Below are 13,735 nucleotides of genomic sequence, written 5' to 3' on the forward strand. Positions count from 1 at the left end.
AACAATAACCTATCAGTCAAAATTAGATGTCTTTTTTCTTCTAAGTCTTCAAGCTACTAAACCTTTTTGCAAGTTTCAACAACACTACCACTTAATATGTATGTTGGACAAGCTTCTCTCTATGCCTCAGTTTCCATATCTGCAAAATGAGAGGTGATATAACAGTAATATATACTGATAAAAGGCTTTAGAGTTTCAGCCCTGAGTTCAAATCTGGTCTCTACTACTTTGTGTGTTAGTCTGGACACATTACCTAACTTCAATTTCCTCATAAGCAAAACAGCATATTATTGAGAGGAATGACTGAGAAAACAAATGTGAAGCACCCAGAGTACAGTGCTTGAATTCAGTAAACACAAGCTCTGTTCCTCTGTTCAATATCTATCTGTACACAATCTGTAGTTCATAGAGCTTTCTCCACTTAGCCTCTATAGCTCTCATCTTGGCTTTCTTTATATACACTATCCCTACAGAATCTCACCCACTTCCATACCTTTGAGGGAACAAATTCCTAAACTACCTGTCTAGTTTTAACCTCCAAGCTCCAGATTCGCATTTCTAATAGGCTGATATATTTCTTCTCCTACTTTCCACCTGCTATTTTCCATACAATCCTTAGCTCATTAGCTTCACTTTCAAAAATGCCTCTAAAATATTTTTTCTTCCTTTCCATCCCCATTGCCATTGATTTAATTCAAAAGCCCACGTTTTACCTCTAGTCTGAACTATTTAACAACCTAACTGGTGTCTCTGTCTCCACTCCATCCCCTCTATTAATAGTCCTTCAAAAGCTCATTAAAATGTTGCTTAAGGTTTAAATAATTGTCTCCCTTGGGTTCCCTATTAAATCCCAATACCAAGTCCTAAGACACGTTTAGTATCTCTTCAAGAAATCACCTGAATAGCTTTCATTCATACAACCTATTAGAGCAGCAACTTTCAAATGTTTTTGACCACAACCTTGGGAAAAAATACATATTGCATCATGACTGAGTATTCTATACACACATAATCAGCTATATAACACCTATAAAATTTCTGACACATACTTAAGTTTTATGTAATGAGTGTTGCTTCTGATTTTTCTTTTCTATTCTCTTTCATTTTTTAAAAATGCTGGTCACAATCCACTAACTTGATGTCATGAGTCAGAGCCCATAGTTCAAAAACCATTCAATTAAAAGATGCAATGGAAGAAAAGCATGAAAAGGAAAAAAAAAAAAAAAGAAAATAATAAAATACATAGGGAAAAAAACCAAAAAAGCTACAAGACCTACCTAATGAAAACTTTCAGTTGCTTCTGAGGAACATAAAAGACAACTTCAAGAAACAAAGTACATATTATATTCTTGGATAGAAATACTAAATATGTATATTTTCCTTAATTTAATCTATAAATTTAACTCAAATCATCAAAAAACAAAACAAAACAAAAAAAAAACCAGTAGATATTTTTTAGAACCAAACAGCCAATTCAAAAATCTTCATGGAAAAAATAAAATTCTGAACAAGCTATCCCTACCAGATACTAAAATGTCATAAAAACTATAATAAAAACAGTGTGGCCTGGGCATACAACTAAACAAATCAGTGGAACAGAATTAAGGTCCATAAATAGATATATGTGAGAATGTAGTGTATTTATGATAAAGGTGACATCTCAAATTAGTGGCGAAAATATGAATTACCTGATAAATTTACTAGACACTTAGATACTTTACAATGTTTCTGAAGACTTAAATTCAACAAATGAAACCATGAAACATCAGAAGAAAAAACATTCAAGAATTCTATTATAATCTCAGAGCAGAGAAGCCTTTCCTAATACTCAAAACCCAGAAACCATAAAAGACTGAAAAATGTTAATGCAAAAATAAAAGACAAAAAATGAAGTAAAAAAAATTTTTCAACATTAATCAAAGACTAAAGGCTAATTTTACTTATACAGAGTTTCTACAAATCAATACTAAAAGGAGACCTACCAGCAAAAGAAAAGCAGATAAAAGGTCAATTAACATAAAAGGATGTAAAAACGTTATTGAAACAAAAGATATTCAACTGTACTCAAAATGAGTGAAATGCAAATCAAACCTAGGCTGATACCACTTTTCACTATCATACTGGATAACAGAGCTTTGTAACCAGTTCTGTTGGCAAAGGTGCAGGAAATCAGCCTCTTCAGCACTGCTATCAGAAGGGCAGAACCTATACTGAAGGCATCTGGTAATATCAAAAAATATAAACACACATGCTTGCTGATTCAGCAATTATTCATCTAGGAATTTGCATGACTATTTATTGAAGCACTGTTTGTAATAGGAAAAAAACTGGAAATGATCCAAACATCTATTAGTAGTTAACTGATTAAATAAATTATAGTACATCAATATAAGGGATTACCATACAGCTTTGAAGAAACAATAACAAAAGAATGAGGAAACCCTTTATGTGCAGGTAACTCATGACAATGAGCAAGGAGCAGAACGCTACCATCTGTGCAAAAAGGAGGTTAAAAAAGAGAACACATCCGTGTATTTGCTTGTATATGTGTATCTCTGAAAAAACACACAAGAGACCAATAAAGGTTGTTACTTATCTAGGTAAAGGAATGAGTGACTAATAGTCAAAAGCAACAAAGAAACTTCATCATCGTTCAATACCCTTTTATACCATTTGGATTCTGTGTGAACTGCCTATTAATAAAATTAAGTTTTCAAAACAAATACAAGGCTTCTACAATCTTGGAGGCATAATTAAGACTTATTTTTCTTTTTTGTTTACCAATTTTTAAATATAGGGTAAAATGCAGAACATAAAAAACCTAAATTAAGGGTTATTTTCATTTATATTAGAAATAAGATTGACCAAAATAACTGAAAATAATGAAAACAAATAGTACATAATAAATTACTGAGTTCTGAAGATACCTTTATCTCCTTTAAAAATAGGCTATATCTCTCTTACCATATTGCAAATATTTTGTCAGACTGAATTTCCTGCTTGGAAACATGAGAACACACAGGAAATACAAATCACTATTAGAATGAATGGGAAAAAAATTAAAGATTTTTCTTTTAAAGTTATTAAAAGGTAAACTCCACATTTAAAATAAAAAATATGGGTAAAGATTCCAATTTCTCACTTCTTATACAGAGGAAGCAGGCACCCTTCATGCATTCAAACCTGTGGTAATACAAGTAAGATTACACATCCCTGATTCTAAAGTTATTCTGTATTTTTTTTCTATTGTTTGGTAGATTTGAAAAAATGCATTTCATACTTAAGGTCTCCAAAGTAAGTCATATACCTAGGTCACTGCTGTTTTTTAAACATAGTCAGAGTTAAAATTAAATGATGGGGCCGGGAGCGGTGGCTCATGCCTGTAATCCCAGCACTTTGGAAGGCTGAGGCAGGCAGATCACTTGAGGTCAAGAGTTTGAGACTTGTCTGGCCAAAATGGTAAAATCTCATCTCTACTAAAAATACAAAAATTAGGTGGGTGTGGTGGCACATACCTGTAATCCTAGCTACTTGGGAGGCAGAGGCAGGAGAATTGCTTGAACCCAGGAGGCTGAGGCTGCAGTGAGCCGAGATCATGCCACTGCACTCCAGCCGGTGTGACAGAGACACCGTCTCAAAAAAAAAAAAAAACACTCAATGATGGACTAGGTGTGGTGGCTCATGCCTGTAATCCCAGCATTTTAGAGGCCAAGGTGGGAGGATTGCTTGAGGCCAGGAGTTCAGGATCAGCCTAGGCAACAAAGCAAGACCCTGTCCCTGTGAAAAATTTTAGAAATTTAAAAATCAGCTGGGAGAGTGACAGCTCACATCTGTAGCCCCAGCTACTTGAGACACTGAGGTGGGAGGATTGCTTGCGTTCCGGAGTTTAAGATTACAGTGAGCTATGAACATGCTACTGCACTGCAGCCTGGGCAACAGAGTGAGACCCTATCTCTTAAAAAAAAACAAAAAAAAAAAAACTGAAACCTCAAATAATATAAAGGATCTCCATACTCCAGACAGCTTTCTGTCCCAGAAACTTTTCCTTTCTGAAATAGCTACTACTGTACATTTATAGGTTTTAAAGCACTTAGACTGGCTGGCACTGAACAGATACTCAAAATGGTTTCTACTTACCCTCTGCCTTTCCAGGTTTTGAAAACTAAATTACCATTAAATGAAACCATTAATTAAGTTGATTTGACCTCAATTTTTCAAGTTGCTGAATATTTTTCAATTGGGGTATCAATTATATTTTTAAATGGCCTCAAAAGTGAGAGTTGGGGCAGGGAAAGAGGTTTTATTATAAACCATATAAACTTAACACAAAGAAAACACAATATTTAAAGTGTTCTAGTCTCATAGAGTTCTACCAAACAGAGGAAGTTTCCCAACAACAAAATAATCTTCCCCTTTTAAATGTCATCCAGCACAAAAGTAAAACAGTTACAATAATCCCAAGTATAAAGATAGTAATAGTGGAAAATAATATTCAGAAGATTGCTTTTCCTCAAAGACAGAAAGATCTTCAAGGTATCTGAGAGAGCACTCTCTTCAAGTTTGTTTCTGGAATGTGGACACCAACTATACACAGGCGCACTCCTTCCCCAGGACATCCTGACTGCACACAATAGCTACTGACAACAATTGAACTAGGTCGCTATTTCCAAGCATGGAAATTTTACTATCTATAGACACAAATTTCCCTATCTAAGTAAAGTTAAATGGTACTTGTAAACAATCTATTTAGAAACAAATTTGGTTACTAAGCACATTTTTAAAAGTCAGGACAGAAGAAGCTATCCATGTTTCCCATTTAAAAATCATCTACATTTTTTTCAGTGTTTGAAATACAGAAAAAAGGAAACCACACAAACATGATAAATCTATGTCAAAAAGTGCTGGTAGGGGTGGTTTCCTTAAGTATATGAACTATATTTTGTAGACAAGGTTTTTATTTTCCTTTCCTGCTTCATCCCTTAACACATGCCCTTTAGCCTCTCCAAATATGATCCTGTTCACCAATCTCATCATGTTCTTCTCACCCAGAGTTCTTGTATTACAGCCCCATCCCCACCAAGTCCAGCCCAGTTAATGCCTACTTGACCTTTTCGACTCAGGACCGGCAATCCCTTTCCCCAAAGAAGAGTTTCCTTTCCTCATTCAGCCTAGAGTGAGTTCCTCACTCTGTGCTCCCATGGTGCCTAGGCGTACTTCTATCACAGAATTGATCACAGGATTGCTGTTACCTTGTCTGTCTCTGATTGCTACATCACTGCTCCCTAAAGGTCACTTTCTGTAGTTTTATTACTTTGAATCCATTTACCTTATCGGTAGCATTTAACACTGATAATCACTTCTTAAAATCCATGTCACCTCCTTGCAGGTCCATCTCCCTACCTGTTAGGTGTTTCTCCAATTCCTCTGTATCTTCTCTCTGTCCCTGGGATCTCACATCAGTCCTCTACTTACTCTGCACACTCAGCTGATGTCATCCTTTTCCATTACCTATACATCAACAATTCCCAAGTCCACATCTTCAACACCGAACTTCTCCATAACCACTAACATTCAACCTGTGTCGTTCTGTCAAACTGACATCCATTCCTTCTTATTTAACAAATCACATTCTACCACTACCACACCCCAGCTTCCGCTCATTTAAGCCCTCAGCTTCAACCCTCATCTAGCCCATTATTCCTAACAATCTCCTATTTCCCTGCCTCCTGTCTCATTTCTTCTCAAATACTCACTTCGCTCTCAATCCTTCTTTTATATACTGCAACCCAGAATAATTCACAACTTTGAATGGCAAGTCATTTCATCAGAGGATAATGGTCCAATTCTTCATGCTAAGTTTTAGCACATATATGCTATAGATACACACACACCCATACATATATGATAAACTTATTTTACAATTTTAATTTCATTTTCACATTTTAGATAAGGTCCCAATTAAGCCTTCTTTTTCTCCATTTGATTCCCTCTTTTAAGTAGTCACTGCACATTACCACTCTCCAATTTCAATTTGTCCTCACCTAACAAAGACTTCTTGTACACCAATCACCTCGAAAGAGCGTGCACTCATTCATAAAAAACTCAAATTTTAAACATCAGTTGTTTGGTTAAAGTTAAGTCTTTTTAAAGTATTCACTGCCAAATAAAGTTAGTTTTTAAAAGGAAGAAAGCTTTAGGTGTGACTTAGTGGGAATATTTCAATATCAAAGTATATATAACTCCTTATTAACATACATCACACAAATGCAATGAGAGGAATTGGCTATATATTCACTATAGACCAAAATATATCACTTGGCTCCTTTTTGCCCACAGCAACCCACTTTTACTATATCTTCCTTACCTTTCACTTTTGCAGTGAGCATTTCTGCAGCATTTTGAAGATCAACAGAATTGAGGTTCTGATGTTTATTCATTATAGACTTTAAAACACGGAGCAGTTCCTCTAGACGTATATGAATAACTTCTTTAAAACAGTCTTTAAAAAGAAAAAAAAATAATTTATTTCCAGAGCAAAGTTCCACAAATCTAAACTACAAAACGTCATCTGAAGCACATTTCAAGTAGAAGCATTGGTTACACAATTTTTGCCTACTATACATTCATTTATATCTTCACTGCTGCAATTATATACAATTTAAAAAGCCTTCAGAAAATCCTTAGTCATTTTAATTCATTAAGGATTTCAAAGGCTCTCACAGTTATGGTCAATTTAAGTACTTCATTTTTCAGTTTTCTCAATCTTAATATGTGCTCCAGACTTCCCTTGAGCCAACTTTATAAGGTAAGTTTTTCTTGCCTTATAGTTTTACTATCATATATTTTTTAACATATCCAGTAACTCTTAGGCATATAAAGATCATCATTTAACCTATACATTTTTAAAATTATGATATAATTTACCTATGATAAAATGTACAGACCTTTAATGAGTTTTTGTGCTTTTTAGAAAAACTGAATTAGTTGTCAATGATGAAAAATTGAAGGATCATTACACATATTCTAGATTTTGCCTACTCCTGAAAAATCAAAATCTTTTACACTCAGGGCCACATTCCTCCTTGGCCACAGTAGCTAGAACAGAGCAGTGCTGCTCTCTTAGATAGATGAGTTTCTTCTCAGTGCTCATTCATTTTCTCCCAGCCTACTCCACTCATTTACATCATCCTAGGTCAGAGCGATGCAGTTTTATTACACCTTAAATAAGATGACTATACAATTTATCATTCAAACCAAAATACTTTTGCTAGTGGAAAGGGGGATGCTACTCACAGTCATGCTAGCACAACAATCACATTCTAGGATCTTCATCCCAAGTAAATCAGAAAGTATAATCACCCTACCTTTAAAACCCCGAAGTAATCCTCAAAAGTCTGACAAGACAACCATTTTAAGTACAGTACTCTTATATAATCTTCCTTTCTGTAAACTTACACAGCATTGGTGTTTAATAAGAGTTAATATCTATTAAGCACTTACTATGTGCTAGGCACTATTAAAAACAAAAGGATATTATTTCATTCAATGTGATACTGAATACTGTGATGGGTCATACTCATTTAGTATGACCCATGTATGTATATACACATATTTCTGTATGCAGTCATCTATATTATTTATATAAGTATATATTTTTATACATATGTATATATTTATACACATTTCTGTATGACTACATATAGAAATATTTGTGTATATACTTAAATATATATACATACATATGTACATATATACATACAAATGTATGTGCACATATGTATATATGTATATATAAATATATTCATGAAAATGTACACATATGCATGTCTATATAAATACCCATATGTAAAAATATACATACACATATATATATTTCTTTGCTTTGTTAGCTGAGAGGGCCTAAAAGAAATGACACTCAGCAGCAACAAGCACACCTAGTATCTAGATCTTGGTTTCTAATACTATTCTCCAATGAAAGTAATCAGGTCTCCTTAGAGAAATAGTTGATTCCTGGACTGGGGCAGAAATCTTCAAGATAAGTAACAAGCATCTTGTAATGCCAGAAAGGAAGGAAGAACTTTAAAAAAAAAAAAAAACTAAAACAAACAACAAAAAACACCCCCCAGTGAGGAGGGCATGTCAAAGGTGCACAGGAACCAACTGAAAGTTTCCAATGGCCAAAGCTGGAACAATGTGAGCAACAAATAAAGTAGTATTGGATTATAACCTAAAGTATATAACAAATGTCCATGAGTCCATACTGACATAAATGATTGAATACATTAGTAAACAGGGGAAAAGAAACAAATCTCTTGTGTAAAAGAACTGTAAAAAATGTGTGCAAATACTTTGCTCTCAAGAAGGTGAAACATAACTCTCTTACATATGACCTATGCAGGCTAACTTCTTCCAAAGAGTGTAGTATGGAAAGGAGGACAAAAAGAATAACTTGACAGTGGAGAAACTTGACAAACACTACTGAAGACAGGTGACCAAGGTCAACATCAACATTGACAAATCACATTCAAGGTAAATATCCTTGCTATAAAGTGATGAAAACAACACTTTACATCTGTAATCTTCCTCCCAATATCCCATAACTCCGGTCTAATGAGGAGAAAAACGTCAGGCAAATTCTAATCAAGCGCCATCCTGCAGAATACCTAATCAGTATTCCTTAAAATAAAAATGAGGAAAGTTTGAGAAGCTTACAGCCAAGGAAGACCTAAGGAGAAAAAACTAAATGTAATACGATAGGATCCTGGAAAATAATAAAGAATATTAGAGGAAATCTATGGAAATCTGAATATAGACACTAGTTAATAATAATGCATCATTTTATTACTGGTTATCAAACACTGGCTCACTAACTCTAAGAGATATAAGATGTTAATACAGTGTATAGGACTATATGGGAACTTTGTATTATTATCTCAATTTTTCTGTAAATCTAAACCTGTTCTAAAAAATAAAAGTCTATTTTTAAAATGAAATACAAGTAGGTAAAAGATTTTAGGAATTTTATGTGCTGTTGAAATTTTCCCCATAAACATAATTTTTTTTTTTTTGAGACGGAGTCTCGCTCTGTCTCCCAGGCTGGAGTGCAGTGGCGTGATCTCCCCTCACTGCAAGCTCCGCCTCCTGGGTTCACGCCATTCTCCTGCCTCAGCCTCCCGAGTAGTTGGGACTACAGGCGCCCGCCACCACACCCAGCTAATTTTTTTGTATTTTTAGTAGAGACGGGGTTTCACTGTGTTAGCCAGGATGGTCTTGATCTCCTGACCTCGTGATCCATCCGCCTCGGCCTCCCAAAGTGCTGGGATTACAGGCGTGAGCCACCGCCCCTGGCCTATTTTATCTTTTTTATAACTGGTAATGTTAGTTTGGTAGGTTTACTTAGTTGAGGCAATACAGTATAGTGTTGAAAAGCATAGTCTCTGAAACCAGACTGCCTGACTTTGAATTCTAACTTCATGGCTGAGAAACCTTGGGTGAGTTACTTAGCCCCTCTGTGCCTCAGTTTCCTCATCTATAAAAAAAAAGATAAGGTAGCTAGTTCACAGGGTTGTTCGGTTAAATGAATTAAAACACATAACGCACTTAGAACAGTGGCTGGAACACAGTAGGCCCTTCATAAATGTTTGCAGCTATTTTTAGTTGGTGCAAAAGTAATTAATTGCGGATTTGGCCACTAAAAAAAACTATATATACATACATACATATATTTACATATATATGTATGTATATAGCCAAAACCTCAATTACTTTTGCACCAACATAATACTTTATGCACTAGTAGAATAGGTTAATGATATAGGTTAGCTCTGAAATTAAATCTAGTAGATATGAAATAAAGGAAACTTCTGGGAAAATAATATAATTTGAATAGGTGTAAAAAAATTATAAAACCTTCCCTTTTTTTTTTTCTTTTTGAGTTGGAGTCTTGCTCTGTCGCCTGGGCTAGAATGCCACGGTGCAATCTCAGCTCAGTGCAACCTCTGCCTCCCGGGTTCAAGCAATTCTTCTGCCTCAGCCTCCCAAGTAGCTAGGATTACAGGTGCTCACCACCACACCTGGCTGATTTTTTTTGTATTTAGTAGAGACGAGGTTTCACTATGTTGGTCAGGCTGGTCTCAAACTCCTGACCTCAGGTGATCCACCGGCCTTGGCCTCCCAAAGTGCTGGGATTACAGGCGTTAGCCACCATGCCTGGCTTATAAAACCTTCCTGATGTGCTATTTTTTCCCCAGTTTTGTACAGCCAGATCTCTTATTTGGCACATACATAACTAAATAAAGTTGGTATATGCTAGTACTTCTGCTGACTTAACCAAAACCAAGGTGGAGTGATTATCATCACAGAGAGTTACACTGCCCTCTTTTTGAAACCTAATAAATGTTAGTCTTAGAAAAGAAAGTTATTTCTATCCCCTATTCTAATGTTTTACAATAAAATCTTCAGGTATTAATATACTTAGGAAACATTAAATCTCAGGCCAAAAGAGCTTGATTTTCAGAATGCCAACGACAACCATCAACATTCAAAATTAGTGTTGGGCAAAAACTACAAAATACTAATGGCCTAAATGCCTACACAAACCAAAGTAATACTGTGGTCTTCTCAGAGTCAAGGAAATTAAACATGCAGAAATCCATATATTTCTAAAATTATTAAATGCTTTTCAATTTTCTCAGTTTTAATTTCTAATAGATAGAACTCACATAAAAAACTCTTTGGAGTCCTCAGTAATTTTTTTTAACAGTGTAAAAAGGTCCTGGGAGTCCCTGCTATAGTTTTTCTTAAGAATCACTATATCCAATCTGTCCCTGGATTTCAAGAAAAATAAAAGAAAAAAAATCACTGCAACTGCAAAACACTCCAATAACTGGTGGCAGCACAAATGGTCTACGAACTTGCAATTCCTTTTTTTCCTACAAGGTAGCCCTAATAAACAGATCTTGAAGTTGTCCCCAACTAACATACTAAAAAAATAGCATCAGAATTATTTTCGTAAGAAGTTTCAGAAGCTCCTTAAGTTACACTATGAAGAATTCCAATTCCTGAAATTAAATACACTGCTGAAGCCCACAAATCAACAGAAATGAACATGATGACTAAATAAAGAAAAAGGTAATCACAAAGGTTCATAAACTTTTCTATATATTTGGGCAGAAGGGTAAACTTCTAGGTCATGAGCATGTCCTAATAATATTTCAGTTGGAACTTCATAAATTAGCAAGCCCTCAACTAGCTGCATCATAAATGGTTTAAAGAAAATTCCATTTTTACCAAAACTGAAGAAAGTTAAGTGGCTGCTTGATGCAGTAAAAAACAATAGATTTAGATAGAGAAACCTGGGTTCCAACCCTTGATCAACTACTTCCTTGAAATGAACACACATACAAAACTCTTAGTTTCTCTGATCTCAGATTCATCCTCAGTAAAAACACAATTGATAATACCTGTTTTACCTACCTTTTAAGGTTGTTGTGAATATCAAATAAGTAGAAATAAAGCTACTTTACAGTCTTAATATACATAAATGGCAATTATTACTAGTAATTCTGTAAGCCATTCAAACTACCTTTGAAAACAGATTTGCCTCACAATCATGTTCAATAACAAATACATTTATAGCTAGATCCCACAATATTTTGACTAAGGAAGAAAAGACATTACATTTAAGTTTCAATTTCATTTGCTGTGTAGAATCTAAATTGGTGAATTATCTGAAAATGAAGCAGTCATTCAGGATATGTTTTATTAAAAATTTCTATATCTCTCAAGTTATAGTACTTAATTTAGTCATATAACTAAATACAAGATAATTTTTAAATACCATAGTGGCCATATTGTAAATGTAATGAAATTTAATTTATACTAAAAAGTTATTACAGATGTGAATATAATAAAATTCAACCAAAGTCTTAATACTAGTCACCTAGAATAGTAAAACTCCTGTATCCCAATGTTTGCTTGTTTCTCTACTCACTCTGTAATACAGTAATCTGAATTTTAATTTATTGTTTCACCGATCTAAGCCATTTATTTTCTGCTTCATTCCACTTATCAAGTGAAGACAGATTAGCCAGCTCCACTTTTTGTTCTCATGCATTAACAAAATACCACAGTGTTTATATTGCCAACACTTCATGGAAATGTCTAAGTAAATAAATGAAAAAAACATGATGTTTTCTTTCATTAAAAAAAAAACTGACAATAATTTGAAAATCAATCTTGTTAACTCAGCTTAACCTCTTTAGGGAAAGCAATGAAAATAAGGAGAAAAAATGTTTCAGAACTTATCACTAGGAAAGTCCCAATTTTTGTCGTAATGGCTTTTGAAGTTACAGGATAAAAGTGAAGCCTGAGAAACAGCAATTTACTTTATTCAGCTACCAGGGATTATGAAAATAATAACAACTGACATTTGAAAATGCTTATTCTAAGAGCTTTACATATATAAACTCATTTAATCATCACAAAAACCCCATTATCTCCTTTTAATAGACACAGAAACAAGCATAAAGGAAGAAGATAAATAACTTGCCCAGGGCTACAAACAACTAGCAAGTGGCAGAATGAGGATTCCACCTCAGGTATCCTGGGTCTAGAACTTGTGCTCCTAATCACTATGATATATTGCCACATGGTTGAAGAAATTAAGCTTAATGACAAGTACTCTGCGATCTGCAATTTAACAGGCTTTAATTTCCAATGAATATGCTAGTTACTACTATAAACATTGTTAAATGATATAAACCATTCTAGGCAAACGCAGAAGAGGAATCTAATACACCGAGAACTGGTACAGGTGTAATAAATGAGCTACTTGTATTTCATACTTCGTTTCTCAAAGATTCATTTCATAACTTCTAGTCACTAAACAATAATCTATTAACATTCACATTAACTTCTAAGTGATATTCATTAGGAATAACTTCTAAAAAGATTTATTTCTAGGATAAGACAGAGCAGTACACATCTGAGGCTAGCAGCTTAATGTTTCTAATATTTCACAAAATTTCTGGCACACTGTAAAGTTAAGTAGGAGGCATCAATGGTAAAAGTAACAATGCAATTTGTCTGAAAAAGAAATTTACACATCCTCCTGTACATTCTCCCTGGGAAAAGAACTGAGTTAATCCACAAGACAGGATTTCAATGAAGACTTTGCAAATTTATGCAGAACCTCTCATAACAGAATATATTATTTAATGGTATTAAACTTTTCATTTAATGAAAAGTTCAATAAAAACTTTTTATTCAACCTAACTGTTCAATAAAATTTGTTTTAGAAAGTTAACATACTACTTCCGACTATAGTCCTGTAAAAACAATTCATCAGAAGCTATCACTTATGAGGTCAGCATTATTTTCTTTATAAATAGTATAAAGGTGATACACTCTTAAATTAGAAAGCATCTTTTAAAAATAAGAGAACTTGACTAGTTCATCTGAAATTGGCCATACATTTTTATCTTCCTTTCCAGCCTATTTAAAAACCAAACCAAAAAAAGAAAAGAAAAAGAAAAATAAGGCACCATAGTCACAAACCAAAAAATCCATTTAAAGTAGTACTATATAATAAAAAAGCTATAAGAAATTATTAGACTATTGATTTTCCCTCAAATATATTTTAAAATGGCAGTTAATATTTCCAAGCACTGAGTAGCAGAACAATTAGATATTTTATACTATTCTTTCTAGCCCAATTAAAAGGCCTTTACATTTT

General features: G+C 34.1%; 1 protein-coding gene across 8 annotated transcripts in view; it reads right to left on the reverse strand.

Moving 5' to 3' along the window:
* The window catches only part of ARHGAP29 (Rho GTPase activating protein 29), a 145,688-nt gene that overhangs the window by 44,989 nt on the left and 86,964 nt on the right, over window positions 1–13,735 (reverse strand). For all 8 annotated transcript variants that reach the window (XM_047434759.1, XM_047434754.1, XM_011542439.3 and 5 more), the window contains one exon: window positions 6,365–6,499. In XM_047434759.1, the coding sequence (XP_047290715.1) occupies window positions 6,365–6,499 (135 nt within the window). The remainder of the gene's footprint in view (window positions 1–6,364; window positions 6,500–13,735) is intronic.

Source organism: Homo sapiens, chromosome 1 (genome assembly GCF_000001405.40).
Source record: "Homo sapiens chromosome 1, GRCh38.p14 Primary Assembly".
NCBI classification, from domain to species: Eukaryota; Metazoa; Chordata; class Mammalia; order Primates; family Hominidae; genus Homo; species Homo sapiens.